General features: G+C 35.8%; 2 protein-coding genes across 6 annotated transcripts in view, besides 4 other annotated features; one reads left to right on the forward strand and one right to left on the reverse strand.

The window, feature by feature from the left end:
• The window catches only part of NME7 (NME/NM23 family member 7), a 235,267-nt gene extending 228,112 nt beyond the window's left edge, over window positions 1-7,155 (reverse strand). For all 3 annotated transcript variants that reach the window (NR_104229.2, NM_197972.3, NM_013330.5), the window contains exon 1: window positions 7,066-7,155. Coding sequence is in view for 1 of the 3 variants with exons in the window: in NM_013330.5 (NP_037462.1) it covers window positions 7,066-7,068 (3 nt within the window). In the remaining 2 variants the exon portion in view is untranslated. The remainder of the gene's footprint in view (window positions 1-7,065) is intronic.
• Window positions 6,992-8,191: an enhancer, noted in NCBI's record as "P300/CBP strongly-dependent group 1 enhancer chr1:169336872-169338071 (GRCh37/hg19 assembly coordinates)". NCBI's record gives its function as "activates an origin of replication core promoter dependent on BRD2, BRD4, P300/CBP, MED14 and CDK7 cofactors, with strong dependence on P300/CBP, by STARR-seq in HCT116 cells {active_cell/tissue: HCT116}" and the evidence as "EXISTENCE:reporter gene assay evidence [ECO:0000049][PMID:35650434]".
• Window positions 7,131-7,632: an enhancer, noted in NCBI's record as "H3K27ac hESC enhancer chr1:169337011-169337512 (GRCh37/hg19 assembly coordinates)". NCBI's record gives its function as "activates a minimal SCP1, AML or CMV promoter by ChIP-STARR-seq in naive H9 embryonic stem cells {active_cell/tissue: H9 hESC(naive)}" and the evidence as "EXISTENCE:reporter gene assay evidence [ECO:0000049][PMID:30033119]".
• Window positions 7,295-7,374: an enhancer, noted in NCBI's record as "active region_2071". NCBI's record gives its function as "activates an Ori minimal core promoter by ATAC-STARR-seq in GM12878 lymphoblastoid cells {active_cell/tissue: GM12878}" and the evidence as "EXISTENCE:reporter gene assay evidence [ECO:0000049][PMID:35858748]".
• BLZF1 (basic leucine zipper nuclear factor 1) overlaps window positions 7,553-19,713 on the forward strand; it is a 28,381-nt gene continuing 16,220 nt past the window's right edge. For 2 of the 3 annotated variants that reach the window (NM_003666.4, NM_001320973.2), the window contains exons 1-4: window positions 7,553-7,700; window positions 8,831-8,908; window positions 15,898-16,337; window positions 17,688-17,887. In NM_003666.4, coding sequence (NP_003657.1) covers window positions 8,881-8,908; window positions 15,898-16,337; window positions 17,688-17,887 — 668 coding nt within the window. In that variant the 5' untranslated portion in view covers window positions 7,553-7,700; window positions 8,831-8,880. Of the gene's footprint in view, window positions 7,701-8,830; window positions 8,909-15,897; window positions 16,742-17,687; window positions 17,888-19,713 lie in introns of those variants that run through there. The other variant, NM_001320972.2, reaches the window with a different exon arrangement.
• Window positions 7,633-8,132: an enhancer, noted in NCBI's record as "H3K27ac hESC enhancer chr1:169337513-169338012 (GRCh37/hg19 assembly coordinates)". NCBI's record gives its function as "activates a minimal SCP1, AML or CMV promoter by ChIP-STARR-seq in naive H9 embryonic stem cells {active_cell/tissue: H9 hESC(naive)}" and the evidence as "EXISTENCE:reporter gene assay evidence [ECO:0000049][PMID:30033119]".

Consider the following 19,713-nt stretch of genomic DNA (forward strand, 5'->3'; position numbering starts at 1 on the left):
CTGGAATGCTCTTCTCCTAGGTTTCACCTGGCAAGCTGCTTTCTATCATTGACATCTCAGCTTAAAAGTCACATCCTCATGAGGACCGTCCCTGATTGTCCTACTCAAGGCTACTTGCTCTTGGAACCAACCAATATTGCATTACTTAGTTTAATTTTCCTCATAGTACTTATCATCATATGAGGTCATCATTCGTTTATTTATTCATGTAAACTGTTTTTCTCTCAAACTAAGGAAAAAAACAATTAAAGAGTTTTATCATCAAAGAGACTTTCCCTCACCACCCCAGGCTAGTTCAGATCACTCTATTTTATTACTAACTTCCACCTCACCTTGTCATTTTTCTTTTGTAATCCAACTTATACTTGTAATTTATTTTCCAATATCTGTTTTTCTCCATAAATTCCATGAGTTAGGGGCCACTGTGTGCTATCTTATTAATCAATGTATACCCACCAGTTACCAGTATATGGAAAGTACTCAATAAATACTTTCTCGAATAGAAGAATAACTGGTGAATGAGAAAGAATTGGGAATAAAAAGGCAGAAAAAGGAAAGCAAAAATAAATAAAAAGCTACATGAAAAAAATTATGGCATTATATTAACCACTTACTATTCCGTTCTCCAAATACCACTGTTTCCTACTAAACAAGAATATAACAGGCTCTAAACTGCATTTGTAATACAATATATAGGAAAATAAACTTTTAAGAGTTTCATATCTGCAATTTATGCCCTGTGCTTTCTGATTCACTTTTTGTAAATAAAATCCTGTGGATCTTTGGAACTGCAATTCTTCCAAATCAGCAATTCAAGTAACAAAAGGAATTCTGGATGACTAAAAAGCAGATGCTGTCTGGGTGCCAAGCTTCATGCCTATAATCCCAGCAGTTTGGAAGGCCGAGGCAGGCGGATGACCTGAGATCAGGAGTTTGAGACTAGCCTGGCCAAAATGGCGAAACCCCGTCTCTACTAAAAATACAAAAGTTAGCCAGGCGTGGTGGCATGCGCCAGTAGTCCCAGCTACTCGGGAGGCTGGGGCACAAGAATTGCTTGAACCCAGGAGGCAGAGGTTGCAGTGAGTGGAAATCGCGCCACTGCACTCCACAGCCGGGTCGACAGAACAAAACTCTGTCTAAAAAAAAAAAAAGGCAGGTGCTAAAAACAAAACCAGAAAAGCTATTAGGAGAAACGTCATAAAGTTGGAAACTGAAAAGCATTTCATTTCATGGAATAAAATTTTGTTCTTCAGTAATTATGAAACTGTCTTTGAAAACTCTGTTAAAAACAACTTTGACTCATGCCTGTAATCCCAGCACTTGGGGAAGCCGAGGCAAGTGGATCACTTGAGGTCAGGAGCTCGAGACCAGCCTGGCCAACATGGTGAAACCCTGTCTCCACTAAAAACACAAAAATTAGCCAGGCATGGTGGCACATGCCTGTAATCCAAGTTACTCACAAGGTGGAGGCAGGAGAATCGCTTGAACCCAGGAGGCAGAGGTTGCAGTGACCCGAGATCACACCACTGCACTCCAGCCAGGGTGATAGAGTGAGACTGTGTCTCAAAAATAAATAAATACATAAACAAACAAACAACTTTGAGACATTTTACTTCAAAGGTTTAGATTAGTTCTTATGGAACATAGCTAATAATCTTTAAAGTCCTTTATTACACTAACAGTTCATCTGGAGTAATGATATTCTAATAAATGCTATATTTTAGAAGATACATAATATTAATATCTTTGTCAAATATATCTTAGAATTACCTTCTCTGTCCTCTTTATAATATGTAAAAGAAATTGATGAGTCCAGCATACGCTTCATCTTAAATGAGGTGTATGAGAAACATGCTAAACTATGGTTCCCTATCTCTGCTTCACAATATAAAGGTGATTCCAGAATTTGGAAGCCTCAACTATAACAAACTAGATGAAGACAGAAGCTGATTAGATAAACTGCAGTGGTCAGGAAGCCTCACCAACAGAGCAAACAACCTCCATCTTCAGCTGCTTATTGAGAGGCCATAATCCTTTGCTGCAATACATACAACAGTGGCTAGACTGAACACAGAGAAGGGACATCTGTTTCTTAGGCCTGTTCTTTCTCATAAATGATTGATGGCAAATATGGAGGAGAGTGATCTGGATGCACAAAGAAACTTGAAAATTTTACTCTAGCCAATTTTAGGCTTTCGTTAATTCAAAGCTGTATCTGCCATACAACAAGAACATTTTCACTAGATCAAAAGAGGAATAAGAATATCTGCAGGCCTTGAGATTTCAACTATTTTGCCTTTTAAACTATATATTAGCTGAACGTGGTGGCTAACATAAACATAATCCCAACACTTTGAGAGGCCAAGGTGGGAGGATCACTTGAGCCCAGGGGTCCAAGACCAGGCTGGGCAGCATAGTGAGACCCTGTCTCTGAAAAAAAAAAAAAATTAGCTGGGCATCATGGCACACACCTATTATCCTAGCTGCTCGGAAGGCTGAGGCTGGAGGATCACTTGAACTTGGGAGGTTGAGGCTGCAGTGAGCCATGATCTCACCACTACATTCCTGCTGGGTGACAGGGCAATATCCTGTCTCAAAAAAAATAAATAAATAAAAATAAAATAATAAGATAAAACAAATAAAGTATATATTATTCAAAGTACCCTGTGTCTTGAACTTTGTGGATCAGGACTCACAGTAAGAAATATATTTTACATCAGAATCCAGTACACATCCAATACATATACAATTAAACAAAAGTTCATGAACGTTACCCTTACAACATGTAGTGAATATGTTAAGTTGCTATTTTATGTCATCTTTTTAATGCTGGCTACATACCACAAATTTGAGTAATGAGTCATCAGGTACAGTTTGAGAAACACTGCTGTACGTATACGTGTGGTCTGGCCTCTGCCTACCTCCCTAACCACATTTCATGGTATTTTGCACCATATTTTCCCTACTGCAGCCACCCCTGCACCATCCCACCACCCAGTTTCTATTATTTTATTACATTGAACCATAAGTTCCTAAAATATACCAATCTCTTTTCTGCCTCAGGGTATTTGATCTTGTTGTTAGCGTGGCCTGGACTCCTCCAGATCACTGCACTTTGTATTATATTATGCAGGTCTCAATATAAAAGTTCTTTCCACAGAGAGGCCTTCATTGACCACCTAATTTGAAAGAGCCCCAGCCTGCAATCCCGGCAGGAGGAGTGGGAACAGGAGTTCATTCATTGCCCTTAGCATTCCTGGGAAGTTTGATAACATAATGTAAGACAGGCAAAAACCAAAAACAGTATTGAGCAAATGTCACTTTCTACCTCCCTATGCCATTGCACAGGTCATAGAATTCTAACTATTGAAATTCTATTCCATTTTCTTCATGACAACTTTTCTGACTCTGACTGAGAAGCAGGGACTCAATTGTACAATTTGCCCCCTATTACTTTGTATTCTCTCAGACCACTTAGCGCATTCTTTCTTATTTTGTATTCATTCCGCAAACATTTGAGTGCCTAATATGATCTAGGCAATACTGTGAACAACATAAGCATGAATTCCTCCAACAGTTCACATTTTAGTAAGAGTGACAGATCTATAAACAAATAATTTCAACCGAATGAGGCAAGTACAATAGGAGAGATGTATACTACATAAAATGGTGACAAAAAGAATGAACAATCAACCTCTTTTTCTTTTTTTCTTGATTTCACAGTGTGGAGGGGAAAGCTCTGAATATCTGCATAGATTTTAAATTTGTATTTATTTATACTTTTTTAGAGACAAGGTCTCGCTATGTTGCTCAGGCTGGCCTTGAACTCTTGGCCTCAAGCAATCCTCTGACCTCAGCCTCTTCAATAGCTGGGACTACACACATATGCCACCGCACCTGACTCGACTCAACCCTCTTTGAGTAGGGAAGGAAGGCATCACAGAAAAGACACCTACACTGGGTCTGGAAGTGAATCCACCTTTGCAAAAATTATAACAGTGAGAGAAATCTAACCTAACTGACTCCATATTGCTTCTAACCTCACAAAGCTAACTGCCCTTGCTCATACCTGGGCATAGGCAAGCTAACTATGGGAGAAATTTATAGTTTAACTTTGAAGCAAGGATGGTAATAGTCCCTTCCAAAACTGACCCCCTCTAGGGACTAAAACAGCCTTGTAAGACTAATAGAAGGCCGCAAGGTTAGGACTATGGGAGGGACCTAAAATCTGCTAAAATATAGGCATAGGTAAGCAATAACCAGCTACTGTTCCTTGCTTTTCTATAATTTCTTACTATTCAGAAGTCATGTAGCCAGAGGTCACAAGATTTGTAACTTCACCAATTGCTCCTTTAGATAACATCACTATTGTAAAACCTAAGATTGGTCTTGAGATATTTTCCAGGCTTCTGCATTCTGGCAAACCTCCTGATGCCACCCAGATACATGCCTCATACCAAGAAACTGACTCTACTAGTCCTATGACTCTCACCTAGACAACTGACTCAGCACAGGAAGACAGTTTGGAAACACCTATAAATTCATCCCCAACCAATCAGCAGCGCCCATTCCCTACCAACCTGCCCACAAAATTATCCTTGAAAACCACAACTTCCAAGCTGTCAGGGAGGCGGATTTTAGAAATATTTCCCATCCTTCCACTCAACTGCCTTGCCTCCATTAAACTCTTTCTCTGCTGCAACTCCTGCATTCTCAATGTTTGGCCTTTCTGGGAAGTGGGCAAGAAGAACACGTTGGCCTGTAATAGGAGAATAAATAAGTTTGGCAAGCAACAAGAGGGTGCAAGTATTCTGTGTAGAAGGAATTGCAAGTGCAAAGTAGAAAGAGGAGGCATACTACCAGTTTGAAGTTGCTTGGTATGTTCAATGAAAAGCAAGTAGCTAAAAGGCAAGAGAATTTTTTTTTTTTAAGTATGGAAAGGGAAAGGCAAAAGCTAGACAGAAAAGTGCTTGTTCATGGAGGAACTTGTGTGCCATTCTAGACATTTTACTGTAGGAAATAGGGAATCTAGAGTTTTAAGGAGGTGAGTAAATCAACAGGTTGGGTTTTTAAAAATTCCTTCTTGTGGCAGAGAAAATAATGGATTGGAGAATTTCCAGACCAGACTGTAAAAGTCACTATTAAAATAATCACGAAATGAGGAGATGACAAACTAAAATTTGATCTAGTGAACAACTGAATATGGGAGAAATAGAAGAGGGAGGAATGTAGGATAACTCTGATTTCTAGTTTAGGTTATAATATAGTAGTAGCATTATTTAACTTGGTGAAAATAGGAGAAACCAGGAGGAAAGATAGCAAGTTCAGTTTTGGTCATATTAAGTTTGAAGGACATTTGAGACAGATGTGTCCGGGAAGCAACTGAGTTAGGCATTAGTAGATCTGAGAGGAAAATTGAAATTTAGAAGCAAAATCAAAGGTGTTAGTAGAATCCATGTGAGTGGACAAAATCACCCAAGGAAAATGTCTAGACTAAGAAATGAAAGTAATCAAGGAGTTAATTCCAAAGAATGACATTCAAAAACCAGGCACAGCCAGTAAAAGGAATTAATGACTATGAACCTCAGTTGTCACAAAGAGACTAAGTAATGTAAATTTTGAGAAGTAATTACTGTATTTGGTATTTAAAAGGCCATTAGAAACTTAAGCAAGAACAACTTTCTTGAAGCCATTAAAGAAGCCAGACAGAAGACTTTTGTCTGTTTGATATAAGTAAAAATAATATCCTTTCAAGAAGTTTACTGATAGATAGGAGGACTAGGAAATAACTGGATAAACACAGGATGGAGGACATGGTTTTGCTTTATTTAATTTTCATAAGATGTGTGACTTGAGCACTGAAGAGAAGAAACTGGAGAGGAAAAGGCTGAACGCACAGGAAAGAAAAAAACAACTGGAAGCGAAATGTAACAGATGGAAGCAAATGAGATCAAGAGCAAAGATGGATGGATTATCCTTTAATATCCCTTTCTCTACACTAGAAATACAAGACTAAAGGCTCGGCAAAAATATAGAGCAATGTGTAGGTTGGGGGCATGAGGTTGAAGAAATGGCCTGTTATACTCCATCATGTTTAGAAAGGAGAAATGAAGAGGGCAAAAGACAGGGTTTGTAAAGGGAAGGTTTGAAAATGTCTTCACAGAGAATGGGTCAGGGGAAAACTGGGGTAACCAAAAGGATTGCTGAGTAGTATGAAGAAACAAGGGGTGGTGGGTGAGGGCTCTGTTTCTAAATTCATAGCTATAACTATCTAAAGATCTTTCTATCCTCCAGTCCGTTATCCATAAGTGCTTAAAAGATATGGTAGTTAAGTGAATTAACTAGAACCCTCTCAAACATAGGGGTGAATTAAAATAACCTATAGGCTTATTTAAAATGCAAATACCGAGCTCCATTCCTTTCATTCAGAATTTCCAGGGGTGAAGCCCAAACAGTGAATTCCAGAAGCTCTCCAAGCAATCCCAGGAGAAATTTCTGTTTAAAAAAAAAAGAAGAAGAAAGAAAAGAAAAGAGAAAAGAAAAGCAAGCACAGACCTAGAAGGTAACCAACTGGATAGAAGAGCGCTGATCCAACATACACCTGTTAATGGCCCTCGTGGGGGCGTGGGGCAGTGCTCTGCCACTCAGAAAAGCAAAAAGACTCCAAGATCTAGGGAGATTCAGATCAGTGTTGAGACAGTCACATACACACCACCCCATACTCTTAATAAAGCGCGTTAATGTGAATCTGTGAACATGAAAAATGCCATGATGAACAATGCAAACACATAATGTTTGTTCAAAACAGGTTATTAGACTCGATGCCTTACCCTAAATTTTCTGTTTCATTACTCTAGAGACTTAGTAACATTAGTGGAATTCAGGGTGCTGTAAGAAATACGGAGAGCGAGGAGACTGCAGGAACAGCCCGTGGGAAGGGGGAAAGAGATAACGGGGAGAAGGTCGGGAGGACCGGACAACTTTAAGTGCCCATCCGCCCGAAGACTTGGAAAGCTAAGTAAGTAGGACCCCAGAGCCGTTCTTCTGGCATCCCCTGGCACTCACCATTGTCTCAGGATCTCAGCACTAGAAAATAGGTATCGTTGAGACAGGAAGACACCACCACCACCACCATCATACGGTTACTCAGGCAACAAAGCCCCGCCCACTGTCGCACGAGGCGTGGGACGCCACCGCCCCACCTCTTCGTCCTTAGTGGCTGGGAGTAATCTCAGCTGCGTTCATCCAATCGACAGACCCGCCCCTCCACGCTGTCGCCTGGGGCTACGAGACGCCATTATTCTGTTTCCGGCAGTTTTACTTCCGTTTGTTTAACAGCTGGCCCGGAAGTTTAAGTGAATATGCGGCTTGGGCTCCAAAAGTTGCTGTACGGTATTTTATTTTAAAGTAGAAATCTGTCCGCTTTTCACTTACGGAGGCCTTACAGTGTGTGTTCTGTGTTACTTGAGTTTATACGCACTGCAGAATTTGTTTACCCTGCTCTTTTGGAAACGTATTCCGGAAGCGAAACCCTGAGTAATCGGAAGTGGTTAGGAGTGAGAGAGCTGCTGGATATGCGGAGGGACTGGGCGGGTCGGCTTCCGAATGGAAGAGGTCTGTGAGAAGTTAACCTGGTGATACCGATCCGAAGAGCCTATCAAGTGAAGCCCCCTGAAATACGGAGAATAAGAATCTTAGAGGTAAATCCGAGGACAAGCAGGTATAACTAAGGATGTTGGAAAGGGACGGAGGTCTGGCTGGAGCTCGGTGGCCAGTAGCTTTGGATTTAGGGAAAGATTGTTCCGGGAAGACTTTTTCAGACAGGGATGAAACTTAGGTTTCGACTTCCCCGGACAGCAAAGTTGACAGGCTTGTCGCTTCCCGGCCTATCGCTTTCATACCTGCTCACTCCCCCTACTTACTTCTTCACCCCCTCCGCTTCATTTGGCATTTGCCAGCAGGCACTCGCTGTGCCTGTACGTTTCGCAGAGCAGCTATCAAGGGCAGTTTCAGGGATCGTTACTCTTACGAAGGGTTTTTTGGATACCTCTTTTCGGAGCAGTAGAGTGTAAGTGTAGAAAAGTTTGTGACTGTTAAGAAAGTTAGTCGTCGGGTTCACTAATTGAACTGAGTTGTATCTAGTACTGAGAACGATCTTTTTTTGTAGTGAAACCAGTTGTCATCTAGTGTACAGTTTGTCATATTTATATCATTGCAGTAGCATCACCTTCTTATATGTTCTCTGGTAAATCTGAGTCTGTACTGTAAGACAATGTATACATTTCTGAAAGCATGGGCTCGATATGTTTCTCTTTTTACTTTTGGAGCTACACTATTTTAATTTTAACTTTTTATTACCAAAAAAGTATAAATTATGTTATCTTGAGTAATATTTTTTGTCGTTTGTTAAACATCTAAACAGAAGCTCCTTTTTGATATGTGTGTGTGTGTATACAAATTGTGTCGGTATGTCTCCTAAGAAAGTAATTACTTTAAAATTCCTCTTGTCATATGGATGACAAAACCACCACAGTAACTTCATTCCCTTTGCTTGGCTAAAATTCAGGACATACTTCTGACAATTTAGAGTGTATTGGTGAGGATGGTGAAACGGAGTATTTAGAAGTAAACCACCCCTAATTTTTTTTTTTGAGACTTTTAGTAGACATAACAATGCCTTCTGTGAGAATGGGATATAAGGGACATTTCTCTTTCTAAATGCATGCGTACTAAATACAGAAGCAATTAAAATATCATAACTTTTAAATTGGAGGTACTCTATGTGTTTATATGATATTTTTAAAATTATTTCATATGCATACATTTCTAGGTTGTTCAGCAGAAGTCTTGGAGTGCATTTTCAGTGGTTAAGGTGAAAAAATGACTACTAAAAATTTAGAAACCAAAGGTAAGTGGCTTTTTTATAATTGTTTTTAAAACATGACATTTATGACGATGTGAAGGAACGTTTGAGCCAGATAACTAGATCTCATGGACCCCCTTGGGAATCATTTGTTATTTCAGATCCCTTTATGTTTATTTTTTAGTGCAGTGTTTATATTTCAGTACTTTAGATGTACAAGTGAAATTTAACATCATTAGTTAGAATTTATTAGGTGACTACTCTTAAACATTTAATGTTAATGCAAAGTTTTTAACAGCTATATTCCCTATACACTAGAAGATTACGATTTAAATAAGAATACACATTTTAAAGATTTAAGTAGATAGACAAAGCAACTAGGGTGTATCAAAGATCTCTTTCATGTTGTATTAGTTTGCTGGGGTTGCTGTAACAAAGTACCACAAACTGCATGGCTTGAACAACAAAATGTATTCTCTCAGTTCTGGAGGCTAGAAGTCCAAGATGAAAATGTCAACAAGGCTGTGCTCCTTCGGAAGGCATTAGAGACACTCTCCTAGCTTCCAGTGGCTTGCTGGCAGTCTTTGGTGCTCCTTGTCTTGTAGACGTACCACCCTTATCTCCGCCTTCATATTCACATGGCATTCTCCCTATGTGCATGTTTCTGTGTCTAAATTTACCCTTTTTATAAAGACAGCAGTCATATTGAAAAAAGGAACCCAGTCTACTCCTGTATGATTTCATCTTAACTAATTACATCTGCAGTGATCCTGTTTCCAAATGAAGTCTCATTCTGAGGTAGTGGGGGGTTAGTACTTCAACAAATAAAGATTTGGGGGACACAATTCAACCCCTAAATTGCTAAATACAGTAGTCACTTTTTAGTCCTAGCTGATTTGTCCTCTCTAATATTTAATACTGTTGACCATTCCCTGCCTTTTGAGATACGTTCTTTTGATGACTTCCATGACATCACTTTTATTTTCAGTCTACTCTGTAGCCTTTCACTGTCCAATGCGGTAATTACATGTGGCTATTTGAATTTAAATTAATATTTTTTAAAAATTAAAAATTCAGTTTCTCAATGACGCTTGCCAAACTTCAAGTGGTCGGTAGGCAAATATGGCGAGTAGCTATTTCAATCATTGAAGAAAATTCTGTTGGACAGCCCTGCTGTAGCTGTATCTTCTCTCTTTCTTTTTCAGCCTCTTCTCCTTCTTATTTATCTTTTAAATATCAACACTTTCCACCACTGTTTCTTTTCTACTCTCATGACTTCAGTAATTATCTATATAAATGACTTCCAAATCTATCTATATCCCTAATCTCCTTCTTTATGATTCATACCCTTATAGACTACTGCCTACTGGCCATCTTCACATAGCTGTAGGCAACAATTTTAACATGTCCCATAGTGAACTTCTCCTGACCCAGCTTATTCTTTGGATGGGTTGAGTTCTGCATGCTAGAACCATCAGTTAAAGATGGAAAACTGTTTTCTAGATGCCAATTTTTCAGCAAACTGACCTCCAGCCACAAACCCTCTCTAAAAGCAGGTTGAAATAAGTTTAAGAAACAAGGAAGAAAGATCATGCTAATAAATATTTAATTGAATTTAATTCAGCTTTGCAACAGCATTTCATAAGTCACCAGAAGGCTTTTATACCATTAGATAAGCAAGTCAGAGACTGTAATGAAAGTAATAAACTGGGGATTAATGGGAAATAAGAGCAGTTAAATAATTAATGTGAAAGCAACCAACATGGTGCTTGTCAAAAAGCAAAAACTAAATACAATATTATGATTAGTCATTAGAAGTACTGGCAAGTTCTCTGTGAAATTAAATTACTTTTTAATATTTATTATTACTTGTTTTTAATGAGGATTAGAGTTATAAGGCACTTTAACAAACATTATTTTGTGTGATCTTAATTATCCAGTAAGGAAAATAATTCTATTAGCCATATTTCTATTTAATCTGTCATCTGATGTTAGTGAACAAAAGTTACTTGTATTGCATGGCCTGTGAAAAGGTGTACTTGGTTGACATTTGTCAGTTGTCTGTGCTTCCTGTAACTGCCTCAGGAGATAAGTACGGTTGTTTGGTATAGCAACAGAACTTCCTCTCAGAAGACATTTGAGCAGCACTGTCATCATAAGAGGGTTGTATCATGGCTGCTAGTGCTGTTTCTGAAAGGGAAACATACAGTAAATAGTAACAATTAGAAACTTAAAATCCAAAGCTTTTCTTGGATGTGGGATTAAAATTGAAAATAAAGCTATTAAAGTCAACTAGTTTAGTAATAGTAGACCAAATAGAAAGGTCTGAGACATTTAAATATTTTTGATTCCATAAAATAGTCTAACACTAGTTCTGTAGAATAATAGGTGTTAGGTAAAAAAGATATTCCATGAGCAGATAAATTTGATAAATGCTGTATTAAAAGAGAGGCTATACTATGGGACCTCTCAGAGTCCTATAGTATAACTTTAATACTAATGTACATTGAAACTCTGTAGAGATGCAGTATGCAACATTGCCCACACTTATTTGACCAGGGATCTCTATCCATAGAGCCTGTGGTAAGAAGAATGCTTAGATTCCACTTCAGTAAATCTCGATGTTACTCTTAAGTCCATTGTATGTAACTTATTTTACTAATTTAATAATAACTAAACTTTATTAGGTGATATGGGTGACATTTAAAAAGACTCTTGATTTAAAATTACCACATGACAATCCCTAATTTGTTTAACTGTATCATAGCTGAATTTGTATATGTTCTGGAAAGTCTTTCAGACTATAACCAAGTTAGGAATTAATGATTTAGGGTAGAGGAAAAAAAATAAAGCAGTTTTTAAATGGGTTAGTTTTTGGATGTTAAAAATGAAACACTCTAGGTAGTGTATTAACAGACTAATGAGCTTCAGTAAGCATTTATTCATTTTCTCTGTGACAAGGACCATTTTATTAGTTCATGACACAAAGATTAGGAGGCGGTCCATACCCTGAAGAGCTCCCAACAGTCTAGTCTACAAGAGAAACAAATTATTTTTAAAATATATACTACCATGTTTGCATTACTCTGAAAGCACCAAGGGATGGGAGGAGGATGAGGTTAAGTGCTTTGTCCAAGGTCACACAATACATGGCAGTAGGGACTTAAGTTATTTTAACTCAGGCTCTAGTGAGTTAGATTTCTTTTCACTACCCCATTCTGCTGACTTAGAGTACCTCTCATCATAGATTGAAGTTTTATGAATAAAAGAGAAATATTTGTTCAATGACAGACAATAAATTTTTTTTTGCCTCAATATTCTAGAGCAAGGGTTGGCAAATTGTGGCCCTCAGCCTCCTGAGAATATCTGCAATCAGTTTGATAATAGTGGACATTAACACTATTTAAGCCAAACATTATCCTGAATTAAAAAAAAATCTGTTCTTCCCATTATTAGACCTATGTTATCAAAAAATTGTTTTCAATTATTGTTGTTATAGTTTGAATTTCATCAATAAATTTTTTTTCTCTTATTAAATACTTACATGGTATCCTCAATTTTACCTTTTGGTTCACAAAGCCTAAAATATTTACTCTCTGGTCCTTTACAGAAAAAGTTTGCCAGCTCCCATCCTAGAATGTTAGACTAGTGACCTTCTTTGTTCTTTCCCTACATTTCACCAATCCTGGTAGGCAATACGAATGAGCAAACCTTAGATATGTTTTAATTCATTGATAATTGATCACAGGTGGAAGTAATGATGATGAATAATTTAAGGATTGTTTTGTTGGTTCCCTTCAAATAGTGGGGAAGAATAAGGATTGGTGTTTTTCTTGACTTAAGCGTTACTCATAATTATGGAGCTGTTACCATAGGTCCTTGTCTTCCCAATTGAGAGAAGGTAATTATTCGTAAATGTGTCCTGGATTGTGCCTACTGCATATGTAATAAAGGTTTCTAGGTATGTCACAAGGAAAAATCGAATTACGAAAGTTACCAGGTGAGAAAATGTTAAGCCCTGGCTCTTACGGCCTGTTTACCTATGCACATTAGCTAGAATCATAGTTATTACTGAGCGGGAGCTCTCACGTAATATATAATACAACTTTGATATTCATAAATGCTTGAGTAAGTAGAACAGTTTAAATAAAGTTAAGAGTAAATTGGGGTGGAAACAAGTTGGTTGAACTTCTTGATTTTCCAACAAGGTATTTTGTTCAAAAAGAGATTTCTGTTAAATACCTATTAATGGTTCTTTGCCTTTTAAATTTAACTTTAATCATTTTGTAATTTGTTCTTGAATCTCTGTTACTTAAAATTCCAACTCAAAAATGTTACAGCTTGCCTAGAAATTTTATTTGACCATAATGGAAGTATCACACCTGTTTTTTATTTCCTCAGCCTCAGTGGGCCTGAACCATGGCTGTAGTGCGTGTTTTTATTGTTGATGGTTTTTATTAATTTATAGTTAATACATGATTCTGTGTTACTTCTTAAATGCCAGAATGTCTTATTGACAAGATTAGACAAGTTAGTTAAGTTTAGACAAACTTAAAATCAGATTTTAAGAATACAGGTAGCTGGGTGTGATGGCTCACATCTGTAATCCAAGCACTTTGGGAGGCTGAGGCCAGAGAATTGCTTGAGCCTAGGATTTCAAGACCATTCTGGACAACATGATGAAACCCTGTCTCTACAAAAAAAAAAAAAAATACAAAAAAAATACAAAAAATTATTTGGTCATGGTGGCACATGCCTGTAGTCCCATCTACTTGGGAGGCTGAGGTGGGAGGATCACCTGAGCCCAGGAAGTCAAGGCTGCAGTAAGCTGTTTTTAAATGATTCAGTGGAAGTTCTCCTTGTCAGTGCTACCATGCTTTGTTTTAACTAATTTACCAAACCCAGCATGTTAGGCCTTTATTTCACTTTCTGAAGTATTCCTTTGTTTATCTTTTTAAAAGTAGAGTCAATCCCAAGGCCCAAGGGGTGTTTAAACTTAGTTTACATTTCATATGGAAATGACACGATTTTATTCTAATGTAAAATGTTTTGTAAAATAGAACACATTAATTATACCTCAGCTATGTTTCCACCTCCTGTCTAATTAACATAACTCGAGGTTCCCAGAACATTTCTACATGGGAAAAATTTGAAAAAAGTAAATCTGTTACTTGAATAAATAGTCCTATAGTCTAGCAATATAACTTTAAGATTTACATAACAGAATGAAAGTCAGAATTGTATTTTATGGCATTAAATAAATTAACTTTATTTCTGTCTATATCAACATCCAAAGTTTATTAGGAATTTATTTAAAGAATAATAAAAGCAATAGGACCTAACATTTAATGAGTGCTTACTGTGTCAAATACCATTCTAAACAGTTTACATGTATTCTTATTTATTTTTAAGTACAATATAAATCATAGGTATTGAGCATGCAAATAAATAAATAGTAAGGATATTAGGCATAGATCCACAGATACACTGGTAGAGTGATTTTCGAAGGCATTTCGGCCGTACAGATCTTCACCAAACCCATTAATTTTATGCTTGGGAATTTATTTGAAAAAATAACTCAGAAGTTAAGAAAAATATGTAGGCATAAAAGTGTTCAATAAAGCCTTATTTATTATAGTGAAAAATTGTAAAGAGTCTAAATATTCAACAGTAGAATAAGAAAGTAAATGCTATATTAACTTGAAGGGAATATATTCTAGCCATAAAATAAAAAATATGTTAAGCTTACGAAATTTATTACTGTTACAAGTATAAAAGGAATTCTGTTTTAAGTCTTTGTTTTAGGAGATTACATTACACACACACATATATATATAAAACATATATATAAAAAACATATATACATATAAAACATATATATATAAAACATATATATATATATATATATATATATATATATATATATGGTCTGGCTGGACAGTGATGAATTCACTGAAGACCAATCAGTAGTTCATGATTGTCCTTAATGTTTCTATAGACATAAAATTTCTATTGAAATATTTTTATACCACTTACCTGCACACTTATTATATATTATCCTGTAATACATTTTATCTTTTTATATGTATGTTCTGTCCCCTAAATTAGGTAGTAAATTTCTTAAGCATAGTGGTCTTACCTCATAGAATGTCTAGCCTTCATTAGGTACCCAGCATCATGTTTGCTGCCCGTGACCACTCAGAGTTCATCATTATAACCATTGTTACTGATCTGTGTGCTCGTCTTTTGTCCCTCCCCTTGTTATCATTCATTTATTGTTTATAACATATATACATATATATATATATACACACACACTACATGCAAGGCATTTTATTGGGAATACAGTGCACTCAAAATAAATTGAAAGCCACTAGAGGGAATGAGAGAACAATAAAAGAATTTGGGTATGATATGGTGAAAGTGAGGTATAAGGATGTTTAATCTGACAATCCAGTGTAGTTTCACTTGTGTAAGCAGGACATAAACTGTTAGGCCTAAGAATAGGATTGAATCTTTTCTTAATAAATTTTTCGGTGTAACATATATGTTGCTTCCTCTTACTCCAAGAGTTCACAAAACAGATGAATCTCTTATGATGTAGATGGTTTCAAATATGCATCTATATAGCTGACATTTATTTTAACTAACATTATTGAGTGTCTACAGTATGCCAAGCATTTCATCTTATTACATTTTTTCTTACCAAAATTCTATAGCAAAGTTGTTATGATCTCCGTTTTGCAAATTAGGAAATAGAGATTCATGGAAGATTAAATTATTTACCCAGGGTTATACTAGAAAGTAAAAGTCAGAACCAAATATTCTGATTCCAAATCTCTTGTCTACTGAAGGAAAGTTTAAACATGTATCTTTTGTTGACACATGATTGTTTTGAAAATTACTTTTTCTCTGATTTTTTTTTTGCATTCTTTTTAGTGCCAGTAATTTTGAATATAGGGTATAGCATGTATTAGCATTTTCTTGGCATTTCTTCTTGGTAAGTAGTTTCTGTTTTGTTTCCTTTTTGTTAGTCACCGTTACTTCATCCCCAATCCGAGGAGCAGGAGATGGAATGGAAACTGAGGAACCACCTAAATCTGTTGAAGTTACCTCCGGAGTCCAATCTAGAAAGCATCATAGTCTTCAGAGTCCATGGAAGAAAGCAGTTCCATCAGAGAGCCCAGGAGTTCTTCAGCTAGGGAAAATGCTCACTGAAAAAGCAATGGAAGTTAAAGCTGTAAGAATATTAGTTCCCAAAGCTGCTATAACTCATGATATCCCCAACAAAAATACAAAGGTTAAGTCTCTGGGACATCATAAAGGAGAATTCCTTGGTCAGTCAGAGGGAGTTATAGAACCTAATAAGGAACTCTCAGAGGTAAAGAATGTATTGGAAAAGCTCAAGAATTCTGAAAGAAGGTTACTACAGGACAAAGAAGGTCTTTCAAACCAGCTCCGTGTACAGACAGAGGTAAGAAGAGCCTTAATCGATAAAATGAGTACTACTCTTTACGTCTGGACCTTTTAAACGTGCATGTTAGAAAACTACATTTCTTTATGGGAATGTCATTCATCCTAGCTTGTCAGTTCTCTAAAATGCTTCCTCTTAAATTTCTCATTCTTTCTCAGTTCTCTAGGGATACTTTATATTGGGAACTTATACTCTAAACCTCATTGAAGATGGAGGTGTGAGGTGCTTTGGACAAGACCACCAATAAGTTGTAAAAGTAGGTTACAATTATAAACTGCCAGACCAAAGATTGACCAAGTCAGGCATAGTAATTGACCAGCAGTCCTTGTTTTAAGGATCCGTAAATTCCAAGTAGTTTTGCTTGTGTATACGGGATACTTGGAATAAAGAGAATGGCGATATAACTTACTGTGTCTTCATTGTAAATGAAAAAAATCTGTAGCCCTTAAGTGTGTTGCTTTAATCTTTGCATCTTAGTAAAAATTGCCTTGCCCCTTCCCTTGTTTCTCTATTAGACCATGCATCTTTTGGCTAGATACAAGTCTTCATAAGTGAGACCATGGTTAGTGTTTTTATACAAATATATTTTTAAATAACTAATTTCTCATTACAAAATGTAGTACAAATTTATGTGTAAAAATTTTAGAAAATACAGAAAAACACAATGAAAATAGTGCCACCTGAATCATTTCATCCAGCTATACGTGCATAACCATATACATTGAGTTCATTTAGTGTCACAACCCACTTTTTTCAGTTATTAATGTTCTGCCATGTCACAGAATATTCTATTACAGTGTCATTGTTAATAGTAACAGTGTTCTTCAATAGCTATACCATATACCAATAACTGTTATTGGATATCTTTTAATTTTTTGCTCTTTTCAGTAATGATGTAAAGAACATACTTAGAAACATACTGGATTACTTTGCTTTATTTTTTAAAAGTAAATTCTTAGGATGCAATACACTAACTTATAAATGTTTAATAAAAAACATAAAACATTCTCTGTCATATTTTTTATCAAAATATATTGGTTTTGTTTTAATTTTTTTTCCTTTAAGTGTTGACTAGAAGCAATTTGTTATTTTCATAATTCTTTTTACTCTTACTACAAGAGGCTCAGTTTATTACCACATGGACTGTGGATATAGATGTATGGAGAGAAGTAGAGAGAGATGGTTTGTATATCGTATGGAACTTAAATATTTAATTTTACTTTTTGATAGAAACTTCAAGTCACGGAGGTCCAAAATTACACAGAAACACAGTCTCTTTTTGTTAATTTTGTTACATTAAAGTTAGTGATATTACTTTGAGCTTGTTGTATTGATTACGTTCTCTTCTAGGTAAATCGTGAGTTAAAAAAGTTACTGGTGGCTTCTGTTGGGGATGATCTTCAGTATCACTTTGAACGTCTAGCCCGTGAGAAAAATCAGCTTATTTTAGAAAATGAAGCCCTAGGTCGAAACACAGCTCAGCTTTCTGAACAGTTAGAACGTATGTCAATACAGTGTGATGTATGGCGAAGTAAATTCCTTGCAAGCAGGTATTTTCTACAGCAAATAGTATTTCACTTCCTAGTTTTTGCTCCATCAGGTTTTTGATCTATAACACAAGAAAGTAGATTGTAGTGTGAAAATTTCTGACTAAGGTCATCAGAGTACTTCATTTAAGATGTGGACTCTCTCTCCTCTGGATAGTCACACAGTCTCCCTAAATGAAGAAGTGATATAAGGATCATCCCTTATTCCTGAGTTCTAGTTTACTGTATAGTAAAAATATAATGTTTAAGACTGAAACAAAACTGTAAACTCAGACATCTAGTAAACATTAAAATCACAAAAAGCCAAACTAAATTATTTTTCCCCATTCAAATATTTGGACTCCCCAAGATAATATTATTCATTCTAAATGCGCTTTTCTCATTGTTCTTTTAACTATATAATAAAGCTTCCCAACGTTTTTCTCTCTATGCACAAATAGAAAATTATAACATTTTTATGACATACTGGATGAGGCTACTCTCATATGGCAGCAAAAACCCTGGGGTTCTCATCCAGGCCTCTCAACACACTGGTGGTTGGGAAACTGCTATATAGTATGATTCTTTGTCTATTTATCCCCTCCCTGCCTCAACTGATAGTTACTAGATAACAAGATCTGGATGTTATCCATCTGTGTATTTCTGGAACTTAGCAAAATACTTTATAGAGTATGTTTCATAACTGTTGATTTAAATTGAATCATCTGGAGATTTCTCATAAAACAACCAAAGGTTTACAGGTTGTATTTGAGGAACCATTGATTTTGATGAATACATTTTTAGGAAAATGTTTTTTCATGTCTTAATATCTCTGACACTTTGTAGTAGTAGTTCACTCTCTTTAACAGTCTTTTGTTTATCTCCTAATTGTGCTAGTTCATTATGCTATTTGGAAAAATGAACTATTTATTCACTTAGAATGAAAGTTAATTGAGTTAATTCTCATTGTACATTTTAAGAGGCAAATCATGAATATATTGTACAAATTTTTGCAATATGCAACTTTTTAACATCCTGATCAACACCAATAGTAACATTTCATTAGATTTTTAAATAAAAATTAAATATGACTTTATTGGTATTTTAATTGATGTAATCTTCTAATGTCAACATTGTTTTCATTTTGAGGAATTTGGTAGTAACTGCAGTCTCAGACTTAAATTTTAATTTTAAATTTTTCAGCCGATTAACCATACTTGAACATTTTGCTTCAATTCCATCAATAGAAAACTGGTTAAATAAAATTTTGTGTATCCAATCAGTAGAAAACATGAAGCTAATTTTTGAAAAAAGGGAATGAGATAGCTGTATATGTGCTAATATGGATAAGTCTCTAAGATAAATTATTAAATGAAAAACTAAGATTTAGAAAAGTTCGTATTCAGTATCTCTTTTTGTAAATAAAGTGGATAAATTTATTTTTAACACATGTATATGTTGAAATATACATAAATTTTTTTTTGAGAAGTGTAAAAAAACTTTGTTGACTGCATATAAAAGGATAGGTATGCTGGGCATGACAAAAGACTTTATATAAATCTTTTTATATTAATATTTTTCTGGGGGCAAAGAGGTAATTGAGTGAAGAAGATAATTTAGTTTTGTTTGTCTCTTTAAGTTTTTCTGTATTTAAAAATATTTAATAATTTTTTCTTTCAAATTTTGGTCAATCTAGAGTAAGATTGAGATGTACTCCAAAAGTCATTATATAGGAAAGTTGAATAACTCTTGCCTTTGTCATTGTCTAAATGAATATTTTAACTGAATCCCTTTAATGAACTCTAAGCTAATAAGCATTTTTAATGCTCTTTAGCTAAAATTTAAAAACT

Source organism: Homo sapiens, chromosome 1, assembly GCF_000001405.40.
Source record: "Homo sapiens chromosome 1, GRCh38.p14 Primary Assembly".
Lineage (NCBI taxonomy): Eukaryota > Metazoa > Chordata > Mammalia > Primates > Hominidae > Homo > Homo sapiens.